Source organism: Homo sapiens, chromosome 6 (assembly GCF_000001405.40).
Source record: "Homo sapiens chromosome 6, GRCh38.p14 Primary Assembly".
Lineage (NCBI taxonomy): Eukaryota > Metazoa > Chordata > Mammalia > Primates > Hominidae > Homo > Homo sapiens.
The window spans coordinates 37,420,428-37,436,310 of NC_000006.12; the positions used below are offsets into that span (position 1 = coordinate 37,420,428).

At 42.7% G+C, this 15,883-nt stretch overlaps 1 protein-coding gene and 1 long non-coding RNA gene across 4 annotated transcripts in view, besides 3 other annotated features; one reads left to right on the forward strand and one right to left on the reverse strand.

Moving 5' to 3' along the window:
* The first annotated feature begins 3,557 nt into the window (after positions 1-3,557).
* The window catches only part of CMTR1 (cap methyltransferase 1), a 57,524-nt gene continuing 45,198 nt past the window's right edge, over positions 3,558-15,883 (forward strand). The window contains exons 1-4 of one of the 3 annotated variants that reach the window (XM_047418463.1): positions 3,558-3,622; positions 11,129-11,185; positions 11,921-12,032; positions 15,197-15,335. In XM_047418463.1, coding sequence (XP_047274419.1) covers positions 15,203-15,335 — 133 coding nt within the window. In that variant the 5' untranslated portion in view covers positions 3,558-3,622; positions 11,129-11,185; positions 11,921-12,032; positions 15,197-15,202. Of the gene's footprint in view, positions 3,623-11,128; positions 11,186-11,920; positions 12,033-12,793; positions 12,951-15,196; positions 15,336-15,883 lie in introns of those variants that run through there. The other 2 variants (XM_047418462.1, NM_015050.3) reach the window with 2 other exon arrangements.
* Positions 11,801-12,796, reverse strand: LOC107986531 (uncharacterized). Its single transcript, NR_171666.1, has 2 exons — positions 12,624-12,796; positions 11,801-12,508 (listed from the first exon to the last, which is right to left on the reverse strand). It is a non-coding gene; the product is annotated as an uncharacterized LOC107986531 (long non-coding RNA).
* Positions 12,476-12,977: an enhancer, noted in NCBI's record as "H3K27ac hESC enhancer chr6:37400679-37401180 (GRCh37/hg19 assembly coordinates)". NCBI's record gives its function as "activates a minimal SCP1, AML or CMV promoter by ChIP-STARR-seq in naive H9 embryonic stem cells {active_cell/tissue: H9 hESC(naive)}" and the evidence as "EXISTENCE:reporter gene assay evidence [ECO:0000049][PMID:30033119]".
* Positions 12,670-12,949: an enhancer, noted in NCBI's record as "active region_24458". NCBI's record gives its function as "activates an Ori minimal core promoter by ATAC-STARR-seq in GM12878 lymphoblastoid cells {active_cell/tissue: GM12878}" and the evidence as "EXISTENCE:reporter gene assay evidence [ECO:0000049][PMID:35858748]".
* Positions 12,950-13,139: a silencer, noted in NCBI's record as "silent region_17140". NCBI's record gives its function as "represses an Ori minimal core promoter by ATAC-STARR-seq in GM12878 lymphoblastoid cells {active_cell/tissue: GM12878}" and the evidence as "EXISTENCE:reporter gene assay evidence [ECO:0000049][PMID:35858748]".

Consider the following 15,883-nt stretch of genomic DNA (forward strand, 5'->3'; position numbering starts at 1 on the left):
TCCTGTCTCTTAAAAAACAAAATAAACAAAGCAAAACAAAAATCACATCATGAAACTTTCCTCTTAACGATTTTTAAGTGTACAGTTCAATGTTATGAAATATATTCATAATGTTGGGTAGACATCACCACCATCCATCTCCACAACTCTTTTCTTTCTTCTTCTTCTTCTTCTTTTTTTTTTTTTTTTTTTTTGAGACAGAGTCTTGCTCTGTCGCCCAGGCTGGAGTGCAGTGGCGCGATCTCGGCTCACTGCAAGCTCCGCCTCCCGGGTTTACGCCATTGTCCTGCCTCAGCCTCCCGAGCAGCTGGGACTACGGGCGTCCGCCACCACGCCCGGCTAATGTTTTGTATTTTTAGTAGAGACGGGGTTTCACCGTGTTAGCCAGGATGGTCTCGATCTCCTGACCTCGTGATCCGCCTGCCTCGGCCTCCCAAAGTGCTGGGATTACAGGCGTGAGCCACCGCGCCCGGCCGGGATTTGTCAATTTTTTAAAAGAAATATCTTTTGACTTCATTGATTTTCTCTATAGTTTTTCTTTTTCTTTTTTCTTTCTTTCTTTCTTTCTTTTTTTTTTTTTTGAGACAGAGTCTTGCTCCGTTGCCCAGGTGACAGTGCAGTGGCACGATCCCGGCTCACTGCAACCTCTGCCTCCCGGGTTCAAGTGATGGTCTTGCCTCAGCCTCCCAAGTAGCTGGGATTACAGGCGGGCACCAACATGACCGGCCTATTTTCTCTATTGTTTTTCTAGTCTGTATTTTCCTTATCTCCCTTATCTCTGCTCTAATCTTATTATTTTCTCCCTTAGACCAGCTTTGGGTTTAGTTTGTTCTTTTTCCCCTAGCTTCTTTCTCTCTTTTTTTTCTTTTTCTTTCTTTCTTTCTTTTTTTTTTTTAAGAGACGGAATTTCACTCTTGTCCCCCAGGCTGGAGCGCAATGGCAGGACCTCGGCTCACTGCAACCTCCGCCTCCCAGTTTCAAGCAATTCTCCTGCCTCAGCCTCCTGAGTAGCTGGAATTACAGGCACATGCCACCACACCCAGCTGATTTTTGTATTTTAGTAGAGACAGGGTTTCACCATGTTGGCCAGCCTGGTCTCAAACTCCTGACCTCAAGTGGTCGGCCTGCCTCGGCCTCCCAAAATGCTAGGATTACAGGCGTGAGCCACGGTGCCGGCCCCTAGGTTCTTAAGCTGTAAAGTTAGGTTGCTGATTTTAAATCTTTCTTACTGTTTTAATATAAGCATGTGTAGCTATAAATTTCTCCCTTAGCACTGCTTTTGCTGCATCTCATAAGTTTTGGTGTATTGTGTTTTTAATTTTCATTTACTTCTAAGTATTAGTTGTTTAAGAGTATGTTGTTTAATATCCACAAATTTGTGAAATTTCCAGTTTTACTTCTGTTATTGATTTCTGACTCCATCCCACTGTGATTGGAGAAGATACTTTGTGTGATCCCTATCTTTTAAAATCTATTGGTACTTAATTTGTGGCCTAACATATGGTCTATCCTGGAGAATGTTTCATGTGTATTTGAGAAAAATGTGCAGTATGTCATTGTTGAGTACAGTGTTCTGTACATGTCTATTTGACCTGATTGGTTTACTATACTGTTTAATTCCTGCATTTTCTTACCTTTTATCTGGTTGTTCTATCCATCATTGCATGGGCGGGTATTGAGACCTCCAACTATAGTTGTAGAACTGCCTATTTCTCCCTTCAATTCTGTCAGTTTTTGCATTTTATATATATATATATATGTATATACATATATATATGTGTGTGTATATATATATATTTTTTTTTTTAATTTTTTATTTTTTTGAGTTGGAGGCTTGCTCTGTCTCCCAGGCTGGAGTGCAGTGGTGCAATCTTGGTTCATTGCAACCTCTGCCTTCTGGGTTCAATGGGTTCAAGTGATTCTCCTGCTTCAGCCTCCTGAGTAACTGGGACTACAGGCACATGCCACCACACCCAGCTATTGTATTTTTAGTAGAGATGGGGTTTCACCATGTTGGCCAGTCTGGTGTCGAACTCCTGACCTCAGGTGATCCACCCATCTCGGCCTCCCAAAGTGCTGGGATTATAGGCGTGAGCCACCGCGCCTGGCCTGCATCGTATATTTTGATGACCTGTCATTAGGTGTGTAAATGTTTGTTATTGTTATATCTTCTTGCTGTATTGAACCTTTAATATGTAATATCATTCTTTGTCTCTTACAACCCTTTTTGATTTAAAATCTATTTTGTCTGATATTAGTCTAGCCACTCTACTCTCTTTTGATTACTATTTGCATGGAATATATTTTTCCATCTTTTCGCTTTCAATCTATTTGTGTTTTTGGATCTAAAACGGGTGGCTTGTAGACAGCATATAAAGGATCATGCGGATTTTTTTTTTCATTCTGCCAATCTTCGTCTTTTGATTGGGAAATTTAATTTATTTACACTTAAAGTAATTATTGATAAGGAGGGACTTACTTCTCTCATTTTGTTATATGTTTTCTTTTTTATTCAATTCAATTAATTAATTTTTTTTTTGAGACAGAGTCTTGCTCTGTCATGCAGGCTGGAGTGCAGTGGCATGATCTGGGCTCACTGCAACTTCCACCTCCTGGGTTCAAGCAATCCTCCCACCTCAGCCTCCTGAGTAGCTGGGACCACAGGCACGTGACACCATGCCTGGCTAATTTTTGTATTTTTTTTTTTCTAATTTTTGTATTTTTAGTAGAGTTTCGCCATGTTGGCCAAGCTGGTCTCAAACTTCTGATCTTAAGTGATCCACTCGCTTTAGCCTCCCAAAATGTCGGGATTACAGGTGTGAGCCACCATGCCCAGCCCATTATGTCACATGTTTTTGTATGCCTTATAGCTTTTCTGTCCCTCATTTCTTGCATTACTGTCCTTTTTGTATTTTGGGGGAGTAAAATGTTTAAATTCCTTTCTCATTTCTTTCTGTGTATATTCTCTAGCTATTTTCTTCGTGGTTACCATTAGGATTACATTTAACATGATAATCTTGTGTTAGTACTCTAACACAGGATTGAATTTACAGCAGCTTAACTTCAATAACATACAAAAACTCTGCTTCATTACATACAACACTGTGTTCACCTCTTTTCGTTGTAGATGTCACAAAATTACATATCTTTATACATTGTGTGCCCCTAAACATAAACTAATGAAGTGGCCTCCTTGTCTGGGGTAAATACCTGGGTGGGGTTCGTCATCTCACGCTGAGAAGATTAACAACACTGTCACGCACTCATGATGTGGGTTAAGGAGTGGAAAGTTTAATAGGCAGGAGAAAGGAGAGAGGAGAGCAGGTCTGTCTTTTGTGAGAGAGAGGTGTCCAAAAGGGAAAAGGTGGCCTGCGGCAGAATGCAGCAGATTTTTATAGGCAGGCTTGAGGAGGCAGTGTCTGATTTACATAGGGCTCACAGATTGGTTCAACCAGGTGTGACATTTACATAGCATGTGGGGAAGGCTGGTTGCCCCACCCTAATCTTATTATGTAAATGGACTTTCCACTTGGACAGTGCCATCTTGTCTGCTCCTTACTGTACACGTTGCTGGCAAAGAGAAGAGAAGACGACCCACCATTTTGATCATGCCTAGTCACAGGTAGCCTTTTTTTTATTGGCACAACTGCCGGCATTCACCCGTGCAAGCTTCTAGCTTGGTTTTCTATGTCTGCAGCTCGATTTTACAGGCTGCTCTTTGTTAGAAAAGAAAATGATTTGGGGGCTGCTTTTCATTAAAAGGAAAACCTTACTGAGGACTCCCGTACCCTCACTATCTGCCTAAGTACCTTTTTCTTTCTTTTTTTTTTTTTGAGATGGAGTCTCCCTTTGTCGCCCAGGCTGGAGTGCAGTGGTGGGATCTCAGCTCACTGCAAGCTGCGCCTCCTGGGTTCATGACATTCTCCTGCCTCAGCCTCCCGAGTAGGTGGGACTACAGGCGCCCGCCACCTCGCCTGGTTAATTTTTTTTTTTTGTATTTTTAGTAGAGACGGGTTTCGCCGTGTTAGCCAGGATGGTCTGGATCTCCTGACCTCGTGATCCGCCCACCTCGGCCTCCCAAAGTGCTGGGATTACAGGTGTGAGCCACCGCGCCCGGCCTAGTACCTTTGTCTTAATTCCTGTATCACTAATATTTTAAAAATACATTAGTCTCCTAAATTATACAGAAAACAAAATACAGAGTTGCAAACCAAAGTTAAAATAATACTGGGTTTTACGCTAATAATTGTTTTTTTTAATGTAGCCATCTCTCACATCATATAAAAAATAAAAAGTGGCATTACAAACCTTAGTTGCAATAATGCTAGCTTTTATAATTGTCCATGTATTTACCTTTACTGTTATCTTTATTTTTTTCATATGGCATCAAGTTATTTTCTGGTGTCCTTTTATTTCACCCTGTGGGACTTCCTTGAGCATTTCTTGAAGGGCAGATTCAGTGGTAACAAACTCTCTCAGCTTTTGTTTATCTGGGAATGTCTTAATTTTTCCCTCACTTTTTTTTTTTTTTTTTTTTTGAGATGGAGTTTTGCTCTTGTCGCCCAGGCTGGAGTGCAGTGGCGCAATCTCAGCTCACTGCAACCTCTGCCTCCCAGGTTCAAGCAATTCTCCTGCCTCAGCCTCCAGAGTAGCTGGGATTACAGGCACCCACCACCCAGCTAATTTTTGTATTTTTAGTAGAGATGGGATTTCACCATGTTGGCCAGGCTGGTCTCGAACTCCTGACTTCATGATCCGCCCGCCTTGGCCTCCCAAAGTGCTGGGAAATTTTTCCCTCACTTTTGAGGGACAGTTTTTCTGGATATAGAATTCTTGATTGATTTTTTTTTTCTTTTAGCAATAAATTCTTTCTTTTTTTTTTTCCCCGAGACAAAGTCTTGCTCTGTCACCCAGGCTGGAGTGCAGTGGTGCGATCTCAGTCCACTGTAACCTCCACCTCCCGAGTTCAAACAATTCTCGTGCCTCAGCCTCCTGAGTAGCTGGGATTACAGGCACGTGCCACGCCTGGCTAATTTTTTTGTATTTTTAGTAGAGACGGGGTTGTACCATGTTGGCCAGGCTGGTCTTGAACTCCTGACTTTGTGATCCACCTTGGGCTCCCAAAGTGCTGGGATTACAGGCATGAGCCACCACGTTTTAGCAATATATTCTTGAATATATTGGCCCACTGCTTTCTGGCCTCCAGAGTTTTTGATGAAAACTCTGCTGTTAATTTATTGGTGGTCATTTGTATGTGAAGATTGCTTCTTTCTTGCTGCTTTCAAGATTCTCTCTTTGTCTTTCTAAAGTTGATTGTAATGTGTCTTGATATGCATATCTTTGAGTTCATTTTATTTGGAGTTTGTTAAGCTTCTTGAATCTTTATATTCATCAAATTTGAATCTTTATATTCATCAATTTTGGGAAGCTTTCAGTCATTATTTCTTCAAATATTCTCTCTGCCCCTCTGACACTCCCACAATGCATATGTTGGTCTGCTCCGTGGTGTCCCAGAGGCCCCTTAGACTCTGTTTGTTTTGTTGTCTTTTTTATTTTTGTTCCTTAGACTCAATAATTAACATTGTCCTATCTTCAGGTTCACTACTTTTTTCTTCTAGCTGCTCAAATCCAACTTTGAATACTTCTAGTGAGTATATTTTATTTTGATTATTGTACTTTTCAGCTCCAGAATTTTTTCTTGTTTCTTTTTAGGGTTTTCATCTCTTTGTTGATATTTCCAATTTGTTTATACATTGTTTTCTTCACTTTCTCCACATCTTCCTTTAGTTCTTTGAGCATCTTAAGACTTTTTTTTAAGTCTTTGTCTAGTAGATCTGCCATCACGTCTTTTTCAGGGACATTTTCTGTTGATTTATTTTTTCTTTTGAATGTGACACACTTTTCTGTTTCTTTGTATGCCTTATGAATTTTTGTTGGAAATTGGACATATGCATCTAAGATGGTAACTCCAGAAAGCCAATTCTTCACCTTCCCCAGGACTTGCTGTTTTTTGTATTTGTTTTTATTTTTCAATTTTTATTTTTTGAGTAGTGCAGGTTGTCTCTGTGCCAAGGATGAGCCTGAGGTATAGAGTTAAGGTCTCCTCAGGTCTTTTTTTTTTTCTGAGATGCAGTCTCACTCTGTCACCCAGGCTGGAGTGCAGTAACGCAATCTTGGCTCACTGCAACCTCTGTCTCCCAGGTTCAAGCTATCCTCCCACCTCAGCTTCCCAAGTAGCTGGGATTACAAGCATGCACCACCACACGTGGCCAATTTTCCTCAGATCTTTTTTAAAACTTTCCCTGGGCAGGCTCAGTCACTTTCTAATTTGCTCCATATACGTAGTCATTTTTTAATGTCCTAGTCTTTAATGTCTGGCTCCCAAAAGGAGAAAAAGCAAAAATGAAAGGAGGGAATAAAAAGGTCACCAGCCCTTTAAATCTCCAGGAGTCACTTCAACCAGAGGGCAAGAGGCTTGAAACAAATGGGGAAAGTTGCAACAAAAATGGCTTTCCCTGCTTTGTTTATACCTCTGTGATAAGAAGCGGGAATGAGAGATCAGGGCATGGATCCCCCATAATCAGAGGACAAAGTCCTCTTTGCCTACCCTGGCTCCCACAAGCTGTTTGTAAGCTGCTGCAGGAACATGTGCACCGCTGTCTGCCATATGGCTGAGTGGTGGTGGATGAGTAACTGCTGCTGTGCTAAGAGCTGAAATGAACTAAAATTAACCACAATTTACCATCCTTGCCTTCTTCTGGATGTTGCAGCCCTTATTAGACTCCGGAGTCCCATAATAGTTACATCAGACGGATTCCGCCAGCACAATTTTTGTCTAGGTGAGAAGCCATATTCCCGGTGCTTCCTACTCTGCCATCTTCCCAGAATCCTCTCCACCCAATTTTGACAATTTTGCTAGTATTCTCATTATTTTTATGGAAGATTATATTTCAGAGGTCCTTACTTCACCTTTCCAAAAAGGACAATTCCAGCATAACTTTCACAGTGTATTTAGAATTAATATTTTACCACTTTCAGTGGACTGTAGAAAGCTTCCTGCCTTATAGATCCCTTCACCCTTCCCCATTTATGTAGTAGTTATCATATGTGTTACATTTACACACACTGGCAACTTTATCAGACAATGTTATATGTTTTGCTTTTAATCATCAGGTATATTTGTAAGAGCTTAAAAGGAGAAAAATAGCCTATTATATATCTACCTAGCTATTTACCACTTTTATTGCTTTTCCTTCATTCCTGACATTTCCAGTTTTACTCTGCTATCATTTCTTTTCAGGCTGAATAACTTCCTTTAGGCTTTATTTTACAAAGTGTGGCTGGTGATGAATTCTCTTAGTTTTTCTTCATCTGAGAATCTCTTTAGTTTGCTTTCATTCTTGAAGGATATTTCTACTGGATATAGAATTCCACGTTGACTGTTCTTTTCTTTCTGGACTTGAAATGTTTCGTGTCACTACTTTTTTGGCCTCCATGGTTTCTGATGTAAGATCCATAGTCATTCTAATTGTTTTTCCCCTAAATGTGATACATAGTTTTGTCAACCTAAGCAACAGAGACAGAGAGAGAGAGAGAGAGAGAGAGAGAGAGAGAGAGAGAGAGAGAGAGAGAGAAACTCTCTAAAAAAGACGCTGTGTTTATTCAGGAATAAGCATTGCAATGGGAGTACAGCTGCCACAGTAAATAATGTGTGTATTCAGACAGGTAAAGGAAGACCAAAAATTTTTTAGGAAAAATGAGGAGGATTACATAAATGTTTTGAGACAATTATCCTTCACTACAAGGATCCTTAATAACAAGGGTGGTGTCATTGCAAGTTTGGACAGGCAGTTAGGCAGATGGTCCTTGCAGAAGTATGTTGTGTTGTTGTTGTTAGGTTGTGACGACTTTTGTGGAAGATTGTGATTTTTGCAGAGCCTTTTGTGATAGTTGTTGTTATCAGGCATTTATGCATGAGAACCCTCCCTTCGTGGGTTCCCTGGCTCTGTTTGTCAGAGTTTTGTTTTTTTGTTTTGTTTTGTTTTTTTGAGATGGAGTCTCACTCTGTCACCCAGACTGGAGTGCAGTGGTGTGATCTCTGCTTACTCCAACCTCCACCTCCCGGATTCAAGCGATTCTCCTGCCTCAGCCTCCTGAGTAGCTGGGATTACAGATGTGTGCCACTGCGCCTGGCTAATTTTTGTATTTTTAGTAGAGACGGCGTTTCACCATGTTGGCCAGGCATGTCTTGAGCTCCCAACCTCAGGTAATCCACCTGCCTTGGCCTCCCAAAGTGCTGGGATTACAGGCATGAGCCACTGTGCCTGGCCTGTCAGAGTTTTAAACATGAGTGACTCCATTTTGATTTTGACAACTTTCTCTGGCTGTTTTTAACATAGTTTATTTGGCTTTAGTTTCCAGCAGTTTGGTTATGATGCATTTGGAAGTGGATTTCTTTGGGCATTTACTGTTTGGGAAATTCTGAGCTTTTTGAGTCTGTAAATTCATGCCTTTTGCCATTGTTTGGAAGTGTTTAACCATTATTTCTTCAAATATTTTTTAGCGCCAAATATTTTTTTCTACCTCCTTTTCTTTGTAGGGACTCTGATGACATAAGTATTGGATCGTCTGGTATTGTTCCCTGGGTCCCTGAGGCTGTATTCACTTTTTTTTCCCATTTGTTTTTCACGTTTGATACTTTTCATTGATCTATCTTCAAGTTTAGTGGCTTCCTCCACCCCCATCATCATCATTCTGCTATTGAACCTATCTAGTGAAATTTTTGTTTTTGTTACTGTACTTTTTAATTCTAAAATTTCCATTCGGTTCTTTCTGCAGAGACTCACTATCTTTCTATTCATTTTTTAAGAGTCTTACTCCTGTGTTTTAGGTTATGGTTATAATGGCTATTCTTTAAATTATGGTAAAAAACACAACATAAAATTTACCATCTTAACCATTTTTAAGTGTTGTTGAAAGAAAAACTTTACATAAATAAAGTTTAGCAGAGATTATTTGAGAAAAGAATCAATTCATGAATTGGGAAGCCTCCCAAACCAGTAAAGTTTCAGAGAGCTTTACCTACCAATGGAGGCATGCAGTATTTATAGATAGAAAAAGGAAGTGACATACAAAAATAATCTGATTGGTTACAGTTTGGCATTTGCCTTATTTGGACATGTTTTGGCAGTTTGCATCCCCATGACTGACTGAAAGTTTACCTGCTATGATTAGCCCAGACTCAGATACTTGTTACAAGAATATACTCTCGGGAGGCCAAGGCAGGTGGATCACGAAGTCAGGAGTTCAAGACCAGCCTGGCCAATATGGTAAAACCCAGTCTCTACTAAAAATACATAAATTAGCCAGGCGTGGTGGCATGTGCCTATAGTCCCAGCTACTTGGGAGGCTGAGGCAGGAGAATTGCTTGAACCCGGGAGGTGGAGGTTGCAGTGAGCTGAGATTGTGCCACTGCACTCCAGCCTGGATGACAGATCAAGACTCTGTCTCAAAAAATAATAAAAAAAAAAAAAGAATATACTCTCAAGTTAGGTTACAGTTTGTTTACATATTATTAGATTATGTTATGTATGGAGGCAGATTTAAGCCAAATGTAATTTAACAGTGTACAGTTCAGCAGTGTTAACTATATTCGCATTGTTGTGCAAAATATGTGCATTTTCGGTTGCCTTTTAGTACAAGTTGGGAGAAAACGAAGGGGAAAAAAATTGGGAAACTCACTCTTGATTTGACAGTTCTTTGACTTCTGGTTTCCTTTCTCCATATTCCTGCCATTTACTTTATACTTTACCATTTACTTTTCAGAATCCTCAGATAGTTGTTCCATGCATTCTGTCTAAGGTTTTAAATTACATTCAGTGGGAGAAACAGAATGAAATGTGCTGTTTCCATTTTGACAGGAATTGGAAATTTCTGTTTTTCTTTTTATTCTTGGGTATTTTATATATATATGTGTGTGTGTGTATATATATATATAAGAGATAAGTCATTTGTCAGATATATGTATTGTGAATCTTTTCCTCTCATTCTGTGGTTTGATTATTCAATGTCTTAATGGTGTCTTTTGTTGAGTAGAAGCCTTTTATTTTGATGAACTCCATTTTATCATTATTTTTCTTTCGATTAATGCTCCCTGGGTCCCATGTAAAAAAAAATCTTTGTCTACCCTAAGTCTGCAAAAATATTTTCCTGTGTTTTCTGTTAAAAGCTTTATCATTTTAGATTTTATGCTTAGGTCTATGATGTATCTTAATTTGCATTTGGCATAAAGTAAGAATCAAAGTGGGCCGAGCACGTTGGCTCACGCCTGTAATCCCAGTCCTTTGGGAGGCTGAGGTGGGCGGATCACGAGGTCAGGAGATCAAGACCATCCTGGCTAACACGGTGAAACCCCATCTCTATTAAAAATACAAAAAATTAGCCGGGCGTGGTGGCGGGCGCCTGTAGTCCCAGCTACTCGGCAGGCTGAGGCAGGAGAATGGCGTGAACCTGGAGGTGGTGCTTGCAGTGAGCGGAGATTGTGCCACTGCACTCCAGCCTGGGTGACAGAGCAAGACTCCGTCTCAAAAAAAAAAAAAAAAAAAAAAAGATTCAAAGTTCGTGTTTCCCTATATATTTATCTGTTTTTTCCAGCACTATTCATTGGGTATACTCATATACATTAAAAAATAAAATTTAACTTTAACTTGACTATATTTTGAATGCATTCTCTCATTATTTAATGCTTTACATAAAAATTAAATCATTAAATTTGCTAAATATGTTAACTTTTTCAATATAACTCATTTCCTATACCTTATTTTATACCCTTCAAATTATTATTTTGAGAATGGGTCCATAAGCTCTACAAGATTACCAAAAGTGTTCATGTCATAATGCATGCTAAGAAGCCTCAGTGAGGTGGAAAGAAGGACACTAAACTTTAGAACATAGAGAACTAGGTAAATACCTGTTTGCTGCTTCCTAGCTCTGTAATCTTGAACATATCACTCAACCTTCATTCATATTCCACACTTCCACAGATTCAGTAAATATCTATTGAGCACTGACCACCAGCCTCTGTTAAATCTTGTGAATTTAATACAGACAGACAATCTTTCCTGTACAGAGTTTACAGCTGAGTCGGGGAGGCAGATGAGTCCACAGGCCATTATACAACACCGTGGTAAGTGCTTTGATAGTGGAAGGACAGAGTGCTTTAGGAGCTCAGAGGTGGGTCTCCCAACCTAGATTTGTGACATCAGGAAATATTTCGAGATAGGGACACTAAAGTGACTCCTGAGGGATAAATGGACATTAGCCCAGCAAAGAGGAGAAGCATGATCCAGGCAGGGGGCTGAACTCTTAAGAGACATGGCATGTTTTGTTTTGTTGTGTTCTGTTTTTGAGATGGAGTCTGGCTCTGTCGCCCAGGCTGGAGTGCAGTGGTGCAATCTCTGCTCACTGCAACCTCTGCTTCCCAGGTTCAAGCGATTTTCCTGACTTACCCTACTGAGTAGCTGGGACTATAGGTGCGCACCACCACACCCAGCTACTTTTTTTGTATCTTCAGTAGAGACGGGATTTCACCATGTTGGCCAGGCTGGTCTCGAACTCCTGACCTCAGGTGATCCATCCGCCTCAGCCTCCCCACGTGCTGGGATTACAGGTGTGAGCCACCGCGCCCGGCGGAGACACGGCATATTTGATAAACTGAGAAGAGTCAGCATGGGGAGAACTAAGGGATAGCAGTACAAGGCATACCTGAAGAAGGGGTCATGCTGGAGGGTCTCAGAGGCCATTTTAAGGACATTAGCTTTATTCTAAGAGCAATGGGACATCATTGATGGATTTTAATCATTGTTGGGTTGTGACAGGATCAGGTTTAATTAATCAATTTTAAATTCCCTTCTTTTCACAGGTGTTGAAAATTATAAAAATCACTTTGGTTTTGTGAAGAACGCATTAGAGGGATCACAACTGGAGACAGTCACGGGAGTTTGGAGTTACTGGAGAAATTCTGCCGAGAGGGGGTAAGTGCATGAATTGTGGCAATGGGGATGGGGGTGAATGGATGGATTTGAAAGACAATTAGGAGGTAAGCGCAATTAAGTGTATGAGAAACTTTGGGGTATGAAGAAGAGGGAGATTCCTCAGATTTCTAGCTGGACCAACAGGATGGATGGCAGCGCCCTTCACCAGGAAAAAAGTGAGCTGATGGAAGAACATAAGGTGAAATTTGAATTCATGGGGTTTGAGGTGACTGAGTGAGGATGTCCAACAGACGTTTGGCCATATTGGCCTGAAAATCAGAAGAGAGGTTTGAGATGGAGAGCCAACTGTGCCCATATGGTAAGATGCTACAGGCGGCATTCCTTCTGTCCTCCCGTCCTTCGTTCAAAATCTGTTGAGATGTCCCATAGGCTGGATGTTGGGGATACAGCAGGGAACAAGAACACTGCGTTCGCTCAACCAGTTTACCATCTACCTCTCTGAACTTGTTCTTAGTCTGTAAAATGAAGATAATGATAAGATTAAGTAAGATGAGGTCGTGTGAGGGCACCTAGCACTTACAATTTTTGTATTGGTTTCTCTTCCTCAGAGCCAAAGGAGGAGATAGTTACTTTTGCTTTTGCAGCCTTTTCCGGGCGGCTTTTCCGCGCAGGCGCCCCTGGACCTCCCAGGTTGAGAGGTGGAGCGGGCCAAACCTCAGCTGCCTTTCCCGGGGCCGGGACCCGGCCGGGGGAGGACCGAGGCGCGGCGCTGTCCGTGACGTCATCAGGCTGCGCTGCCCGCAGTACTGGACCCGAGCGCGACGGTGCGGCTGGCGGACCCGGGCTGGCTTGTGGGGAAACGAAACTGAGGGAGGAGGCGGCGGCTCTGGCAGCGGCGGCGACAGTGTCGGCCTGACCCCCCCTCCGCTCCCCGGCAGCTCGCTCTCTCCCCTCAGCGTGAGTGCCGACGCGCGGCCCGGGGGGAGCAAGCGGGCGGGCGCGCGGGCTCAGCATCCTTCTCCCCTCCACCGCCGCCTGGGCCCCCCGCCCGCGGTTATGGGTCTCCTCGCCTTCTGGCCCCTTATGTCTTCCCTCCTCCTCCCACCCCCAACGCCGGCTCCCTGGAGCCCGAGCTGCCGCTGACACACGTCTCTGCGCACACATTCACACGCTCATGTTATCTTCAAATGAAGGGACTGGCCGGGAGACATGGGAGCTTATCTCTTCTCTCTGTGATTAGGGGTGGCAGTGCCAAACCGAGGCCCAGGGAGAGAAGACTGCAGAGGGGATTTGAACCCCTTCTGTGCGGAAGCAGCAGGTAGAACCAGGCCGCTTGCCTTCCGCTTAGAAGTTCCCTGCCAGAGCATTCTGCTGGCATGTGTGGGTCACTTGAGCAGGGCACTGGTTAGCTGTGTGGCCTTCACCTCTGTGGCCGCAGTCTTTTCCCGTGGAAGATGATAGGGTTGGATGAGATGATTTGGAAGGCCCAAATCTAAGGTGATGTGGTTTGGGGAGGAGCATCCGCCTCTCCTGCCTTTCACACAGCTGTTCAACAGTCCGCTTTGAGTTTGCTGTACTTCCAGTCTCCCCCCGAGTCACTTAAGAATTAAAAGCTTTTAGCGCTTGCAATGGCTAGAAGCAAGCTCTGTGATGAGCCTTCCTTTATCTCACCCTGGGGGCCTTTTGGGGGTATTTAAGACTACGGCTTAAAGTGAAATGTGGCTTAGCTTGGTCTTGCTTTCTGTTTGCTCAGTGTCTCCGGTTCTTCCCTGGGACAGCCCCTGCCTGTATCTAGTAAGAGGCTGCTTTCTCAGGAAGGTGGCGGTTGTGCATTGGGTTGATTGGCTCTTCCTTGAGTTGGAGAGAACTGAAACATGTGATCCAGGGTTTTACGAGGTTGGGAGCATCAGTGACACTTTTGGGTTTCAATACTTTCTTGCTGTACCTCGCCTTCCCTAAGGATTGTTTCCCAGCTTGTCGCCCACCCTGTATTGAGTCCTCTTTTCTGAGTTCTCTACAGCCAATCAGTTGTGTGTAAGCCACACTGTATTCACTACTTCTCTTGCTTGCTCTTTAACTTGATAATTCGTTAAGATTTCAGGGTTTCATAATCACTTCATTCCATCTTATTTTTTTCTCGTGCTTATCTCTCATGTACCTAACCATGGGGATGGATGATTGATGGTGGCATGGTGCCTGTTTCTTTCTTTTTTGTTTTTTTGAGACGGAGTCTTGCTCTGTCGCCCAGGGTGGAGTGCAGTGGTGTGATCTCGGCTCACTGCAACCTCCGCCTCAGCAATTCAAGCGGTTCTCCTGAGTAGCTGGGACTACAGGCATGTGCCACCACCCGGCTAATTTTTGTGTTTTTTTTACTAGAGATGGGGTTTCACCATGTTGGCCAGGCTGGTCTTGAACTCCTGACCTCAGGTGATCCGCCCACCTCTTTCTCCCAAAGTGCTGGGATTACAGGCGTGAGCCACCGCGCCCAGCTGGTTTCCACTCTTTTTTGTGGAGGTGGATTTCTGTCCTTAAAATTGTTGTTTTCGTAACTGAGTTCTGTGGTATAGCTACCTCCAGTCCCAATAACTTTCCCGCTCTTGTGTTTCCTCGGTCTTAAGTCATTTCACTGCTTCCATTCCCTACTCTGCTTAAAAACTTTCCCAATTCTTTCATGTTTTCAAACATTATGAAGTAAACCAAAACCAGTATTTTTATGATATTATGTAATTTCTTAATTGTTTTGGTAAAATAATGCTGATGAAACAGTCATTCTGGGATGGTCCCTTCACCTTGGGAATATTGGTTAATATTTATTCGGTTTTATAGTTCATTTTCAGTGTACATTGTCATGCATGGCCAATATTGCATCAAAAGTGTAGAATAACTACAGGTACCAAGGCTTTATCCCCCAGTGGCTTGTGGAGTTGATCCATGACTTTCTGTTATCTGACACCAGTGGCCCAGGGCTCTCTCAGTCTGTGAGCACCACATTTTCCAGTAAAACAGCTATTATTGAAAACCAACACTTGTCTAGCATCCTTCCTAGACCTCATTCTGAGGAAGAGGCTATTCAAGTGCTGGCACTGGAAGATGTGTAGAATTGCCAAATCTCATCCCATTGATGATTTACACTTTGGAATCCCTGCTGTGATCCCAGTGGCTGTGACCCAAGGGCAGCTGACTGACTGGATTTATGGTTACAGTTAACGATGAAGAGGAGAACTGACCCAGAATGCACTGCCCCCATCAAGAAACAGAAAAAAAGAGTTGCAGAGCTTGCCCTGAGCCTCAGCTCCACGTCCGATGATGAACCTCCCTCCTCTGTCAGTCATGGAGCAAAAGGTACGTGTGCTTGTGTGGTCTGAGGCCACTGGCCATCTGGTTATTTGAACACACAGTGTCTAATCTAGGTGGAGCAGACTATAGTCCACTGCCCCTTGGTCCCTTGAGGAAAATTAGGAATACTCTACAGAGAGATGTTGGCTATAGACTCTTTTCCCTTCTGCCATTCTCCTACTAAGAGTGGGGAAACTTGTTTTAAATAAAAAATGGTAATTTTTCCAGAAGTTGCTTTCTGTTGGTTGTCCTTCAGTAGGTGGCACTCTTGCTGCCTTAAACCAGTTAGAAGTAGTGGTGAGCATTGAGTGCTGTGTGCCCTTAATAGCTGTTAATTATCCTGGGGCTCTTTTGTAAGGGAGGGCCTCTTTGCTGCGGCCGTCGAGCCTAATTTTCACTTTTTTTGCATGCATACCGTTTTCTCAATTCCTTCAGCGGTTGTGGTCAGAAGTATCCAACTACTGGAGCATTGCTGCGTTCACTGTTTGCATTAAGCGTCGAAGATTTCACTAATCTGGTTGAAACTAGCATTTTGCTTTGCCTGTCTTTTAGGG